Raw genomic sequence first — 16169 nt, forward strand, 5'->3', positions numbered from 1 at the left:
ATGAATGAAGTGCCACTTGGGGAGCATACACTGAGTTGTGAACAGTAAGAGGCAAGGAGAAGGGGTACTTGGTATATTCAGTATTCTTCTATGGGATTAAATAAGGACAGAGGTGGTGAAGAAACAATGGTAGGACAGTTCCACAACTTGGCCACCAGGGGCCCCCATTGACCCAGAGCAGCTTGGTTTCCGAGGGGAGAGAGGCCAGGTGTCTGTGGCAGGGATGGGGAGGATGAGACACAGAAAAGCAGCAGACTTTGAGTGGGTCCAAGAGGAGGGGGATATTGACTCATTATGTTGTGCTAAGCACCGCTTTAAGCACTTTACAAATAACACCCTAAGAGGTAACTATTTTATCATCCTTATTTTACAGATGGGGCAACTAAGGGTATATTTGGACAGATGACTTGGCTAAAGCCACAGAACTGTTAAGTTCCGAGTTGGGAAATAATCTAAACAGCCAGGCTGCAGAGTCTGGGTTAACTGTTGTGCTCTGCTGCTCCCAGGAAGAGCCTGCCCCTACATGGTTCTGGAGCCCTGTCTAGAATGTGGACATGTACCGCCACTCAGCTGGGGTATCTCCACTTGCCTCCCAGTATGAGGCTGTTGGGAAGATTTGTGTGAAATATTGTATCCTTTTGACTTTTTTTTTTCCTACAGCCACTTTTCATTCATTTATCCATTCAGGTGTTCAGCAAGTAAACATGGAGCCTGCTGAAGCTGGGAATGCAAAGTGTGCAAGAAGCCTGCCTATGGGAACCTACGGCTCAGCAGGGAGACATGAAATAGCTGGGAACGCCCCCTGCACAGTGTAAAGGGCGTGCTACCTTGGGAAGGGGACAGAAACAGAGGAGAGGGGGGATCCTGGCCAGCAGGGGTGTCACAGAAGGCTTTTTAAAGGAGGGGGCCTTGGAGCTGAACTTTGAGGCCAGTGGCATTCGAACACATCCACGGGTCTCCCTTTCGGATTTCAGTGCCCTCTTGGCCTTGGGCTGATGAGCTAAGTTGCTACTGGAGAATGACCTTTCACAGGAAATTCAGAACCCCAGTCATCAATGTTTGACTACCCTGTCACCAAGTCCCTCCATTGCCCTGGCTTGATGTGGCTGCGAGAAGTCACCTGTTCAGGCCCCTCCTGCCTCCTCCACACACTGACCTCCCTCAGACTCAGAACAGCCGATGCTGCCCTCTGAGGCCTGCCCCTTTGCACAGGCTTTGCCCACATCTGGGCTCCTGGATTCCTCAGAAGCCGGCTCCTGGGGCCTGTCCAGCAAGGCTTGGAAGCCCGGGTCCCCAAAGACCTGCTAGTTAATGAGTTCTGCAAAAACTAGGTCTGTCTGTAATCGAAATGGGAGTACAAGGCTCACACGGTCCCTGAATTAATTCAGTCCTGTTAGAAAGGGAGCAAGGCAGAGTTTCTGCTGCTGTCTGCAGGACCCATGGAGGGGTTCTATGCACCATTACTTCCATTTGGGGACCCATTGTTTTCCATCACTTCAGCACAATCTGGAAAACATTCTCCAAGTCTATTATTCCTGTCTCCTGCTGCCACACTGAGGCAGTTGTTAACAATGCCCTCTGCCCACCCCGGACCCCTCCTCCATTTAAATACCAGTCTGATGGGCAAAGAGAGCATTTAATGACTGCTCCAGACTAAAAAGTTCCTATTATTTTATTCCCTTCTTACTCCTGCCCAATTTCCTTCCAGATGGGGCAGGTGGGTATAAAATATATGGAGCTGGAATTACAATAGCAAGAAGACAGGTGGGGAAATTGAATGTGGTTGGAAAATTTGTCCGTATGCCTACAGGTGTGTCTTATGAGATCTTGCAGGCTACCACCACCCCCGCTACCCCAGCCTGGCCATTCTCCAAATGGTCTGGGAATGGGGAATATGAGTGGCCAAGACTTCCCCTCCTGTTGGAGTGGTCTGAGTATCCAGGCAGAAGGAAAGGAGATATTTAGCAAGGGGGCGCTTAGAATGGCAGCCTTGAAGAGGTGCAGGCAGTGCTGACTTGACACTACCTTCACCATCAGGTGTTGGGCCCCCAGTACGATACCACAGAGTCTTTATGCCTTCCTTCTGGATTCTCTTCTTTCCTCTCCTTACTCAGATGCCACCTCCATTGGGAAGTCTTCCTTGATTACCCCAGAGTTAGTTTCTCCGTCCTTTCTGCTCCTCTCTCTGCATCCCTATTAAATGTGTTATTGGTCTATGATGTTCTGCATTACAACCTGTGTTTGATGGCTGGTGACTTCCTGTACAGAGGAGATTTAGGGACATGCATGCTTGAGAAAGACTCCTGTTCTCCACTTGCTTGCTGTGTGACTGTACAAATTTCTATTATCTCTGTAACTCCATCTGCAACATGAGGACAAAAAAATCTACGTCACAAGGCTGCTGTAAGGAGTAAGATCCAGCTTCCTTCTCTCCACCTCAGCCATTTACAGTCACTACTATTGGGAAACTAGGGCTCTGGAGTCAGATCAGCCTGGGTTTGAATCCTGGCTCCACCACTTTCCAGCTGTCTTTGGCCCTGTTACAATCCTTCTGTGCCTCAGTTTTTCATCTGTAAAATGGTGGTAACTCCTATCCCATATCTCATACACTTCTTGGGAGAATAAACTAGGGTAATGCACGTAGATTGCTCAGCATAGGCCTGGCAACATTCTGAAAGTTAGCTATCATTATTGGTAGTGTTGTCACTAAAACTGTGAGTTGGTGGAGTCCGAAATCTCAGCCTAGTATAGTGCCCAGAGCCCAGTGAGTACTGAGTATATAAAAAGGAAAATGTTTCATTGTAAACTGGGAACCATGATCCAAATGTAATGCTCAGAAATGTCACCCCTTGTCAATTATGAATGATTAGGACATGATGCAGGTGACTTGAGCCTGCATCAGAGACCATGGGCTTGGGAGATGCCCAGGGGTGCCTGCCCCTTTGGCTGTCACAGTCTCCAGTTCTTCCAGACTATGCCAGGTGCAGGTGAGCTGGAGGTAACAGACACTCACCCACTGATAGCCAGAAGTCTAACCCAGGAGGAAAGAAAACCCAGGGCTGCCAGTTCACACACAGTTGGGAGCACTTGCTAGTGAGTCATGGTCAATGGCCAAACAGATGAGAAGAACCAAGGAAAGGGTTGGCATTTGCTGGGGTCTGCTGATTCCCAAGCTCTGGCCTGTGGTGAAGCAGCAGAAATGTGCCAAGCTGAATCACAAAGAGCTTGAGGAGACCTTGGCCTTCCTTCCAGGCTGTGAGGGCCTGGGCTGCCCTAAGCCATCCTCTGGAAAGGTGGAAAGGTCTTCAGGCCCAGAGTCATGTCCATGTTTACATCTATGCCTATGTCTGTAGCGATCTGGGGTATAGATATTTACATAGCTAACATTTATTAAGGGCTAATTATGTTCCAGCTTACATGGACCAACACTGTGGTAACATCAATCATATCCATGATATAGATACTACACTTTCCTCACCATGAAACAGGGATAATAAATTTGAGGCCCCATTGGTCTCAGTCAGAATGAGCCATGTTGTGCTGTGGTAATGAGCACCTCCTAGATGTCAGTGGCCTGAAGTTGTCTCAGTCACATTGTTTGTCCTTCTTGTATCAGCCAAGGACATTGGCCTGTGCTATTGTCATTGTCAGCCTGGGGCCCAGACTGACAGAACAACCATTATGTGGAACACTGCCAGTCACTGTGACAGAGGGAGAGAGAGGCAAGCCATGCCCTGACTCCTAAGGTGCCAGGTGCAAGTGAGCTGGAGGTAACAGACACTCACCCACTGATAGCCAGAAGTTTAACCCAGGAGGAAAGAAAACCCAGGGCTGCCAGTTCACACGCAGCTGGGAGCACTTGCTAGTGAGTCATGGTCAATGGCCAGACAGACGAGAAGAGCCAAGGGAAGGATTGGCATTTGCTGGGGTCTGCTGATTCCCAAAGCTCTGGAGGAAGCTCCACCAGGAAGTGACAGATGACGCTGCTGCTCACATTTTATTGGCTAAGGCAAGTCACACGACCGCATCAAACTTGAAGGTAGTGGGGAAATGCAACCCTACTAGGTGCCTGAAAGACAACTGGAAATGTTTGGTGAACAGGAAAAAGCCACCATATCACCTGCTGGTGTGGTTTAGGGATAGAATGAGTTCATGTACTTCAGGTACTCAAAATGGTGCCAAAGGCCCAGTAATCTCTGCATGGGTATTAGCTAGGAACACCACTGCTGTTTCTCTTATTTGGTTTAAAGATGAGGAAACACAGCATGAGAGGCCGAGTAATTTGCCCAAGTTACTGCCCAGGGGCTACCCAGAGGTTGCCCTTCTAACTGGCACACTCTACCAGCCCACTCCGAGTCGCAGGCCATCCTGAGAGCCGAGGCTGGGTCAGGACAGACACGATGTGCCCTCGGTGACTTTGAGGACTCCCATTCTACTGGGGGAAGAGAAGGGACCCTATCATCTAGTGAGTGCCACACAGAGGATCTTACGGAATTCTCACAACAGCCCCAAGGTAGGGATTATCATTCCCATGGGTGGGATGGGAAAACTGAGGCTCAGAAAGGTAAAGTGACTTGCCCCAAACCAAAGGCTAGTTGGAGGTGGAGCCAGGGTTCACATCCCGCCTGTCGGGCTCACTGTTGGTGGGGCTCCCTGCACGCACCCCTGTGCCTGTGGAGGAGGCACAGACAGAGGCACACAATGGTGAACGGCTTCGTGGACGCTTTCCTTACGGACAGAGGGGACTCAAGGGTCAATTCCGGAATGAACGAGCCCGCTTTCTACTCCCAAAGAGGAGCCAGGGGTGTGTGTGTGTGTGTGAGAGAGAGAGAGAGACAGACAGAGAGAGAAGAGAGGCCCCCTCATGAATCATCAGGCAGGCTTCAGGGAGGAGGTGGTATTTGCCCTGGACTTTCTAGACTGGCGTACGTGAAAATAGGGAAGGAAGGGTAGGACTTCTGTTCAGGGTGTTTGGAAGAGCCAGAGTATGAGCTGGACAGGGGTGAGCAAGAGTGAGGTTGGGGTCAGTCCTGACTACAGCAGCATTACCACCAATGATTGTACAGGCCAACATTGGGCCGCCATCTACATCATATTGTAGAATGGAATGTTTATCATGACATTCCGGCAGATGGCAGCAAATATCTGGAGGAACTGGGGCTGGCCATCTCTACCCCCACACCTGCTCTCACCCTTCTCCCTGTTGCTCTGTGCCCTGGAAGGCCAGTGTCTATGGGATCTCTGTTCTTGGGCAGAGAAGCCAAGGGGAAGCACCGGCAGGAGGCAGGAGGTGGTGGAGAGAGGCTTGAGTATTTATTCCTTTTTTCCCTCCCTGTTGGCTTGGCAGTGGCTGTGCTTGTCTGTCAAAATCTCCCCAGCTGCAGCCCTAGTGGGATTTCATAACTGCTTTCTTCTGTGGTCCCTTTGGGTCTAAGGGCGGTAACAGCTCCCCTCTGTTGCTAGGGTATTTCACCACCTTTTGCTAGTTTTTCTTAGCCATGACCACACCTTCATAAATAATGTCTTCGGTAAACTCTCCAATCACCCCTTCTGAGTGAGCCATCTGTGTCCTTCCAAACCCTGACAATTCAAGGGCTCTTTCATAATTTACACAACGATCTTCTTTATGCCAGCAGCAGCTTCAGAAACCTCCTGGCATTCTCTAGGCATTCTGTAGGCATTTGGGGAGTTGTTCTGAGCAGGTCAGGAAATAACCCCAACTCCATCTCTCATGGGGTGGCTGAAGCAAGCAAAGGTGCAGAGAACAGGGCAGAGGCAGCACGGTGAGAACTTTTGCCTTTTTTCAACACTTCTGGCACTGACCAGGATCCTGATGAATATTTGTCGTGCTGAGATCCATTGAATTCTGCGAGGCGGGGCAGGAGAGGCGGGGCCTTGGGGGACCAGCAAGGGCTGCTCCCTGCCCTCACCTGCAGGATGGTGTTTTTGCCTCAGTTTCCCCCCTTAGATTGTGAGTGCTCCAAGGCAAGGCTTGATCTCTCAAATCTCTGTCTCCTCCAGCCCAGCCTGTTGGGAGAGCACTGGAAAGTAGCTGGTGGGTGACCTGAGCTAGTTGAGCTGGTTTGAGCTGACCTGCAAACTTCCTTTCTGTGGACCCCTGGTTTCCACTGGAAGGTTCACCTGCCCATATCAGAAAAAGCCTGACTTTAAAGGATTTTAGAAAACCCCATTTTATTCTTTTTCAAAACGTACGGCAAGTAATCAAGAACATTCCTCCTGAGTCCAGTGCTATTTCCTCTCCAGTTCACTGCCCCTCAAGCCAAATCCCAAGTCTGCTTTAATGAATATAGAAAACTCACTTGTCATTAGTTGGACAAAAGCTAATGGACTGGAGTCCTTGAGGACAGTGGGTCTCTTGAGCAAATTAAACACTCCCCTTGCAATCTTGAAGTCAATGTTAAATTGTTTATCAAACCCTTCCTTTCCAGGTAGCATTAAGGTGAAATTTCCCAAGTTCTGGCCATTAGGTCAGAAAATTATATTGAGCTGGAGACAGGAAGAAGGAGAGGCAATTTCAAAACTGTTTTGTTTTGAAGAGGAAAAAGGCGTATTGGTTAGGGTCTGGGGAGGGGTCCATAAATATACTTCACCTCTGATGTCACTCTGGCCTTCGCTCATGGCAGACATTGCTAATCAATCATATGCTCCTAACTGTTAACTCAAAACTAAAGCTACTTGCAAACCAGGGCCTAGGGTTGATGGGTCTCCATGATTTTGGTAGTCATTAAAGAGGATGCATCATGGGGCAGGGGGATAAGCACTGGGCTGGGTATCAGAAAGCCTGGTCCCAGTTCTGCTGTGTGATCTTCCTGTTTGGGTCTGGTTCCCCTTCTGCTCAAACGGGGAAGACTTCCTTGCCTGCCACCAGAGGCCCTTGCAAGGACCTGTCAAGGGCTTGGCTAGAGGAGCTTGCCAGGGCTGCAGAACACTGCCATGGCAGCTGCACAGTCACGGTTGTTCCAGGCAGTGCCCTTCAGCACACACAGAAATGAGCTCTTCCAGGAGTGGAGACAGCTCTTCAGCCATTTTCTCCTCACAGGGCTGTTGATGTTTGGGCCCTGTGTGATGTACAACCACATGGTGGCCTATGAGGTGAAGATGTGACTTGGGAGGATCTCTTGGGTCCAGGGCTCCCAGGGCAGTGTCAGAAAAGCAGAATTATGATGCACGGAAGGGAGGAGATGGGAGCCTTGTCCTAGAGATTCCCTCAGTTGTCTATTTATTCACCCACTCATTCATTCATTCATAAATGTTTTCTGCAGATGCCTAAGCTGGGCTCTGATGACTCACCATCCACTCAAATTGGAGCTGGCCAACGCCTTTTATGGACCTGCACCACCTCATGGTTGAGAGGAGTCCCACAACAGGGCTTGGCTTTGGAGGCAGATCCAGTATTGACTGGCTGTGTGTCCTTGGGCAAGCCATTTCTCCAAGTCCCGGTTTCCCCATCTGGGAAGCAGGGGAAATAGTCCCCTTCAGAGGGTTCTTGTAGGGGGTCAAATGAGATCAAACATGTTAAAATGCCTGGCATACAGCACTCAAGGATCGCCAGCCAACTGCTGGCTTTTGGACCAATAGCCTCAGCAAACGCTTACAGAAATGGAATTCAGTGCAAATACCCAAAAGAGGAGCTTTCAGAATGCCGGAAACATTTTCATATTTGTGCAGGAAGAAAACAAATATTATTTGCCCTAAAACTGTGAGGAGCATGCTAAAGGCTCAGAATGCGGCCGCTGAAAATTGAATAACTCCACTTGCAGACGGTGCATCAATTTCATTCAATTTGTAAGCACTTGTCCCTGTAGTCAGGAGGAAAAATGAATTCAGCTCAATCAATCAGCCTGTTTCTGGGTGGTTTGGGGGAAGCCACCCCATCTCACAGGAGGTTCAGTGTCACCTGGAGCAGAGTGACTGGAGCTTCGTTGTTTTTGTGGCAAATTGGGGATAGTAGGAGCTTCATTGATTACCTTATTCTATCTCTGTACTACCACATCAGTACCTGCAAGGAGCGACTGTAAGTAGGTGTCTCAGCCTCATGTTTGGGGGTGTTTAGAGAGTGTCAGTAAGGCATGCTATGGCTACTTCTGCGGCCACAGCTCAGTGCCAAGGGAGTAACACATGGGGAGGAGAGGGGCGTGTCCACCCAGGAAGAGCAAAGAGAAGATGGAAGGGAACCCCAAGAGGCAGCCACTGTCTCACTTGGCTTTTCCTTCTTGCCTCTGTCTCACACTACCTAACCTGAACTGCCCCGGGGCATGCCCTTGGCCATGGTCAAGCACAGAAATATTATTTATTTGGGCATGGACGTCGCTGTGGAGGAACTCGAGCACTGGGTCTCCAATACCCACCTTGTCATTCCTCTTGAGGCCTCTAAGTAAAGGTGTTGAAACCAGAAACCAGGGACTTGAAAGGAAAGGACAGCCTAAACACAGACACCACTTTGACTGACTTTACCTGTCCCTCTCTGATCTTCTTTCTCCCTTCTCTCCCCTCTTTAAACATGCCAGCCCACCTGAAGTTCCACTGGGATTCTTTAGGTTAGGACTTTGCACCATGAGCTACGTTTCTATAAACGGAACGCTCAAGTACAATGTTTGCTACTGAAGGCATGAAGAAGTACCGACGTATCTTCCCAGTTCCTGGCCACTGAGTGCTATGTAGCGATGGGTAGGTGAGAACCCTTAAATGAGGCCAAGACATGCCAGAATCTAGAGGCACAATTGACAACGGGAGAAGCGGGCACTCCAGTGGGGCCACCATTTGCATTTGTCCTGCCCTGCCTCCTCTATAAAAGGAAAATAGGAAAGGGGGAAGGAGGAGGACGGTCTCATGAGAGAATCCCGTCTTTAGGCGTTTGTGTTCAGTTCAGAAGACAAGCCGTGTGCTCAGCCCTGCCAGTACACACACACTGCCCACCCCCACCATGGAACAAGCTCTGATTGTGTTAAATGTTGACTATTTTCGTGCCACAGCCCCTCGGGGACAGATTCTGGCAAAGATGATAGATAGAGCTTGGAGTGGGAAAGCAGATGATGTTTGAAAGCACAGTGCCCGGGGAGAACCAGCCTGGGGCTCAGAGAGAAGAGCACGTTTTGTTTGTTTTTGTTTGTTTCAGCTGGATCGCATTCAAAGGAGACAGAGGGAAGGTTGCAAAATGCCCTTTTTTTGCCCACTATGGAAGCTCGGGCTTTGGGCAGCTGGTGTTTAGCGTCCTATGCTGTTATGTCAGAAGCCCCCACTCTGGATGGATCAGACCTTATGGGGTCTCTGGGGACACAGAAAGAAATCAGATGTAGTCCCTGCCCTGAGCGCCTCAGTCTGAGGGGAGACAGAGCATGCATAGACCAGGCTGATGCAGAGTGACTCACACTGAGACGCAGGCGAGGACTAGGGGCTGGGAATGGAGGGACGGAGCAACTGATGTGTTGTGTGTGTGTGTGTGTGTGTGTGTGTGTGTGTGCACGCGTGTGTGTGACTGTCAGAAGATGAAAAGGATCAGGGAGGAGGGAATTCCTACATGTTTGTGCCTGGGACCTCATGCAGAGGAAAGACAGGAATGAAAACTAGAAAGGAAGCAGGAACTGGTTCACGGTGGGCCTTGAGTGCCAGCCTTTAATCCTGAGGAGACATAAAATGAGGAACCCAGTGAGACTGGAGTTTTCTGGGGAAGGATCCCTCGGGATGGGAAGGAGAGCAACAAGTACAAGAGGGTAGAACAGTGTGAGAGGCAATTCCATCCACTTCCGCCCCTGCCTTTGGAGTTCAGCGTGCCTTTGTAAAAACCATGGTTGCCCAGGAGTGTTTCCAGAGGGCAGGGAAGTGCTTCCTGCTAAGCGGAGTGGAGTGAGACCCTTTTACACTCTGAGCATAGTTGCCCAGTGGGTAGGCTGGGGTGAGGAGGCAGTGAGGCAGAGAACTAAGGAGGTAGAAAGAAAGGAGGCAGTGTAATAATGTAGCGGGTGGAGCACAGACTTTAAAATAGGACAAACCTGGCTTCAAATTTCAGCTCCACACCTCTGTAACCTTCGGCATGGTATGGAACACTTCTGTATCAGTCAGGATAATCTAGCTTATGCCGCAGTAACAAACAGCTCTGAAATCTAAGTGGCTTAAAATGACCGAGATTGATCTCTTGCTCATGCTGCGTGTTCATTAAAGATTTGCTGGGGACTCTATTCATTGTAGTAACTCCAGAACCCAGGTTTATGGAAACTTCTTGTTACTCCTTCCGCAATGACCAAGGCAATGTGAACAGGGCATGGTAATTCACTCACTGCCCTTAAAGTGAGCTCTTTCACTTCCATTCACATTCCACTGGTCAAAGCTAGTCTGGCCATGCACATCTTCTCAGAGTGTGGAAAAGTGAGAATTGAAATAGTTGTGAACAATCTGTCTCAACTTTCTTATCTGTAAAATGGGAATAAAACTACCAACCTCAGATGAGCATTGTGAATCTAATGAGATAATGCATGCAGCAGTCTAGGTGAAATATAGTCACACTCAAACAATGACAGCCAAAACAACAACAAAAAGATGTGGGCAAAAAGGAGAAAAAAGTATAGCATTTGTTGCTTCTGGGATTTCTGAGACAGCAAGGTTGATTTATCTGGAAAAAGCTGCTGTGTCTGGAACAGCTGTATCGGGAGCTGCTGCTTTGGAGGTGGCCCCGAGATCGATCCCTGATGCTCCTGGAACTCCTTCCTGCTGGTGAAAGACTTTCCCTCCATGAGTCTCAGGGCTGAGCTGGGGGTGTTCTTGAAGGCAGCTTCCGGCTTCCTCTCCAAGACTGTGCATTTCAAACACTAATCTAATGCCTTTCCTGCTGCCACCGCAGTCCCATGGAAACAGCATTTCCATTCCAAGTTTCAGTTCCCATTCATCACCGTGAAGCGCGATACCTGAGGGGAAACGGTAACTGAGACTTTGTGAGTCTCCAAAGACGGGAATGTGTCTGCAGGAGCTGAGTAATTAGAGCAGTTTTCTGCACACATGCCTAGTCTTTATTTAAGACATTTCACTTAGGTACACGTCTAAGTTATTCAAAAGTCACTTAGATTTGAGACATGTATATCATTAATTTCTCGTCTCTATTGTAGAATAGTTCAATAAGCACCAATAACCATGACTGCAAGTATTTATTGAGGCTAACTATGTTTCAGGCAACTGTACTCAGAGCCTTGCTTGAAATAACTCATTTAATTTTATAACAATGCCTTATTGTTTTCTGTACCCAATTTGAGAAACTTGCAGGACTCCTAAGGTGTTTCCATATGAAGGAGCTTTAAGTAATCTTTAAGGGGAAAAATGGAATAAATGGAGAATAGTTAGTCTGTGAGACTAAGAAAAGAGCGGTAACTAACATTCACATAGAGCTGAGTATGTTCCAGGCACTTAGGCATATTAGCTCATTAATTGTCTCAATAACTCAAAAGGTAAACACTATGGTCACCATTTTATAGTTAAGGTACCTGAGGTATAGAGAGAGTACATAACTCCATCAATATAATAATAGCTAGTGAGTGGCAGAACCAGGATTTGAACCCAAATAAGTAGGTTCTTATCCACTATACTATACTGCCTCTTGGGGTCTCACAATCTCAGCATCTTAAAATACTGAGGGGACTGTCATGTGGAAGACTTTTCACTAACGTCTAGATCAACACAACCAATATTGATGGTGTAATTGATGATGTAATTGATAGTGTAAGCCACAGAAAGGCAGATTTTGACTCTATCTATGGAAGGACTTCCACTCAATTGGCATTACTCAAAGATCAGAATTCCTTGTTGATAGCAAGCTCCTTGCCACCAGAAATCCTCAAGAATGGGCCTGGGTGACCACTCCCAGCGAGGTGTGGGTGGGATTCCCTCCCTGGGTTTGAGGCTGATATAGATGACCTGTGTTACCCTTTAACATAATTTCATGACCACAACAACTGCCATGACTTTGGAATATGGCCAAACATTTCCAAACTATTAAAACTGGGAGCAGGTGACAAAACTATGTGGCAAATATGAAGGCCCAGGATACTTTACCTGAGCTCAGTGGTATCATCAAGTTCAACTCATAACTAAGTGATGCTGACACGTGGTCATGATGCAAATAAGTGTTGTTACCTGGATGATCAATTAACCTCAGTTCATGTCATCAATTCTAAGTAGTAAAATTTTCACTAATCAAGCCTACATTTTTGTTTTTCTTTTCTAGCTGTATTAATTTACCTGAATTTTAAAGCGAGGCTAAATGTGGTAGTTTTTCTCGATGCTATGTGGGTGTTTTTCTTCTTGGTGAAGCTGTAGAAGGATGGGAAGCAGGGGCATCACTTACTGGGCCAGAAGAGCCAGGTGAGAGCCAAGGACCTACGCGGTGAGAGGTCCATGCAGGCCAAGGGAGAGGAGACGTGACAGGAGCATGAGTCGGATGAGCTGGGGTCTGGAGGGAGCAGACACTGGCAGCAGAAGGTACAGAAACTGTACCCACCCCACAATGGCCCCAGATCCTCTGGGGCCAAAGTCCAGGGCAAGGGCTAAGGAAGCAGTCAGAGGCCAGGAAACAGGGCAAAAGCAGGAAGTACACAAGGAAGAGGCTTGGCCCCTGCCTCAGTCTCTGGGCATTTGTCTGGCTCCCCTGGGGCAGAAGACAGTTCTAGCTGGGTGGGCCTAAGCTCTGGATGCAGGGACAAGAAATTGGTGGTAATTGATGAGAGCAAAAAGACCCAGCACAGGGGTCCCAGGAGGTCCTGGTAGCAAGTCCAGGCCAGTGTTCTCAGGCAAACCTCCTGCGGCCCCAGCTCCTACCCCCACAGGAGGCCACAGGGCCGGGATTCCAGTCCCAGCACTGCCCCTGACTCAGCAGGTAACCTTGGCAACATCCCTTCCTTCTCTGGCCTCAGTTTCTCATCTCTACAGTGGGAGAATTGGTCTAGATATTTCCTAAGGACCTCCTGATCGTGAAATAAACACAACAGAGGCAGCTTTCAAAGATCTTCTTCCCCTTCTCCTTCCAAAGGGCTGGCAGGGAGTTTAAACCAACTTTGAGCCTCTCTCTTCTCTGCTTAAGAATTGAAGATTTCTATGAACTGGACTTTTTGATTTACAGTCCCAAGTGGTGTAGGAGGGAATAATAAGCTCTTTAGACTTGGAAGCTCCTGCAAGAAATGATGGATGTCCTCGAGGGAACGTACATCCAGGAAGGTGTCCCCAAACTCCCAGCAGGAATCAATCTCCCTGTCCCCTGAATGCTCGACATCTCCCTAATAGCATTTTCTACCTCGTGTTTTGTGCAGCTGCTTGTGTGTCTCATATCCCCCAACTAGGTCACAAGCTCCCTGAGGTCAGCGACCGTGCACCTTGGGCTCTCGGGCAAGATTCATGGCATGGCTGCTGACCGGCTGGACAGATGGGACTTCTCTGATTTTTAACCAAGCATTCTTCCTGAAGATGAAAGTGTCCCACGTCATCTTGTTGGGATGATGTACCAGGATCTGTGCTGCTTTAAAAATGCACAAAATCCCTGGTACTTTGGAGTTGTTTGCAAGTAGAAAAAAAAAATTGATGGAGGGTGGAGCCCGATGCTAAGTGGAAGTTGGAATGAGACCCCTGGAAGCTTTGTTGCTTGTATCTGAGGTCCTGACTCTATTGACACTACAGCACAGACCCCTGAAGACTGGGCCTCCCAGAAGCCTGCTTGCCACCTTCCTAGTATTGCAGGTCCCCCAAGAGCTGGGACCTGGTGGCATCATATGCTAAATAAGAAAAATAATCTTTAACAGCGAGCTTACTTTTTTGCAAAGCCTGCTAAGCCCTTTAGCCACTGGTCCTCATTACAGCCCTATGATGGCAGAAACTATTGTCATCCCCAATACACAGATAAGGAAACTGAGGTCCAAAACCACACAGCCAGGGACACTTTTCCTCCAACTCCTCACACGGGTCCTCCTCATTCCTGAGGCCTCTCTTTGAGCATCACTTCCTCGGGCTGGCCTTTTTCACCACCCTCAGTCAAGAGGCTTTTGGCAGCCTCATCATTCTGTATCGGAGGTCATCAAACTTGAGCATGCACCTGAGCCACCTGGAGGGCTTGTTACGGCACAGGTTGTTGCCCCACTCACCCTAGAGTTTCTGACTCAGTAAGTCGGGGGTGGAACCTGAGAACTTGCATTTCTTTAGTTTTTAAATTATAATTTGTGTGGGTACATAAAAGGTGTTCATATTAATGGGGCATGTAGGATATTTTGATACAGGCACACAATGTGTAATAGTCACATCAGGGTAAATGGGTATCTGTCACCTCAAGCCCCATCCTGTGTTGAAAACAATCCAATTATACTCTTTCAGTTATTTTTAAATGTGCAATTAAATTATTATTGACTATAGTCACTCTGTTGTGCTTTCAAATACTAGATCTTATGCATTCTTTCTATTTTTGCTTTTGTACCCAGAACTTGCACTTCTAACATGCTCCCAGATGATGTCGAAGCTGTTGGTCCGGGGACCACACTTCAAGAACCATTGCTCATAGCACTCCACTGATTTCCTTTAAAACACTAATCAGAGTCTGTAATTATTTAATTTATTGATTTGCTTAATTGATTATTGTCTCTTCCACCAGATTGCACGTTTCAGGAGGACAAGGACAGTACCTATTTCGTTCAGTTCGCTATTGCTAGCTCCCAGCACAGGACCTGGCTCATAATAGGTACTCAATGATATTTCTTGAATGAATGAGCACAGTGGTGGAGCTGAGACTAGGCCCAAGCCAAGCCTGCCTGACTGCAGAATCTGTGCTCCAAACACGACTCAGGACTGTCTCCCTGGACTTTAAAACCTCCAGCGGAGCTGCCCCATTAAGAGATAAATGGACACCAAATCTCTCATTGTGGCCAAAGTGAGAGTTCCGCCACAGTCCAGTCATGTATCTCCTGGAGACCACCCTAGAGAGACCAGGTGAGCAGTATGTGAGGTCCTGTGAGAGGCAAGGCCTTTGATTTCTGGTGTCCACATGTGCCAGGGCAGCTAAGAGCCCAGGGTGAAGTGACTCCCGCCCTCCCACATCATCAGCCCATCTGGTTCTGCTGGGGCTGTGCAGACACAGCCCAGGAGGCCCCAGGTACCCAGGTCTGACCACGGAGAACAAGCTGATGGCATCTGATGCTTGGCTACACGTTCAGGAAACATCCTTGCAGATGTTTCCTCCTGAAGAGGAAGGCACAGGAGAAGAAAAAGGAGAGGAAGGACAAAAAAGAATATAATAAAAGAAAATTGCTTGCTGTGCCTCTTTTTGGCAAACTAAATGCTCGTTGAAATTAAGATAAGCTTGACAGGCTTTCGTTAGCAGTTTTTTGGGGCCTGAGACGATCTTGCCTTGAGAGACTTCTATTAGAACCGGCTCCACAACTAATAATGCGGTCTCTGTCACTTAACTCAAAAGTCCCTGCTGGACTCGTACAGTGAAGCATTAAGGAAATGAAATCTTTTTTCTTTTTTTCTTTTCTTTTCTTTTTCTTTCTTCTTCTTCTTCTTTTTTTTTTTTTAACATATACAGCAAAGTTTGATTTGTTGAGAACATTTCTTCAACTGACAAGTTACAAGCCATGTCTGAGAGGCCCACTGGGAACTTTCAAAATTTGAGCAGCAGTTTCTAATCACTGACGATGATTAGCATTTTAGCGAATAGATTTTTGATAAGAAAAATCTTTGCTCTGTGAGAAGAAAAAAAAAACTCTGACATTTGATAATGCAAACAGAGTAGCAATTTTAATTAGGCCTCCAACCCTCCTTGGCATAGCAAACATTGCACAAGATCCAGATGTTTCCCATCTTGCAGGATGTGAACTTAAGGCTGCGTCAAGGTCATTGGTACCAGGTACTATGCCACTGATTGAATCTCCGAGGCAAACAATAATAACCATTATTTCATGAGCACTTACTATGTGCCAGATGTTCTGCTATGTCACATGCATTATCTCAACTGAGCCTCATCTCAGTCTTAAGAGAGCTACCATTTTTATGGTTCCCATTTTACAGATGGGAAAATTAAGCTGAGAATGGTTTGCTAATCCAAAGTTCCCCAGCTTGTTGGTGGTGGAGACACTAACCCAGGTCTGTGTGTGACTCCAGAGTTTCCACATTGAACTTTACTGCCTCCC

General features: G+C 47.8%; 1 long non-coding RNA gene across 2 annotated transcripts in view, besides 1 other annotated feature; it reads left to right on the forward strand.

The window, feature by feature from the left end:
• The window catches only part of LOC105376030 (uncharacterized), a 50778-nt gene that overhangs the window by 13832 nt on the left and 20777 nt on the right, over positions 1 to 16169 (forward strand). Inside the window, exon 3 of one of the 2 annotated variants that reach the window (XR_929588.4) lies at positions 688 to 2219. The exons of the other annotated variant lie outside the window; for it this stretch is intronic. This is a non-coding gene — a long non-coding RNA (uncharacterized LOC105376030). Of the gene's footprint in view, positions 1 to 687; positions 2220 to 16169 lie in introns of those variants that run through there. 2 annotated transcript variants of the gene reach the window in all.
• Positions 5028 to 5227: a silencer, noted in NCBI's record as "silent region_19898". NCBI's record gives its function as "represses an Ori minimal core promoter by ATAC-STARR-seq in GM12878 lymphoblastoid cells {active_cell/tissue: GM12878}" and the evidence as "EXISTENCE:reporter gene assay evidence [ECO:0000049][PMID:35858748]".

This window comes from Homo sapiens, chromosome 9, assembly GCF_000001405.40.
Source record: "Homo sapiens chromosome 9, GRCh38.p14 Primary Assembly".
In the NCBI taxonomy this organism is placed as follows: Eukaryota; Metazoa; Chordata; class Mammalia; order Primates; family Hominidae; genus Homo; species Homo sapiens.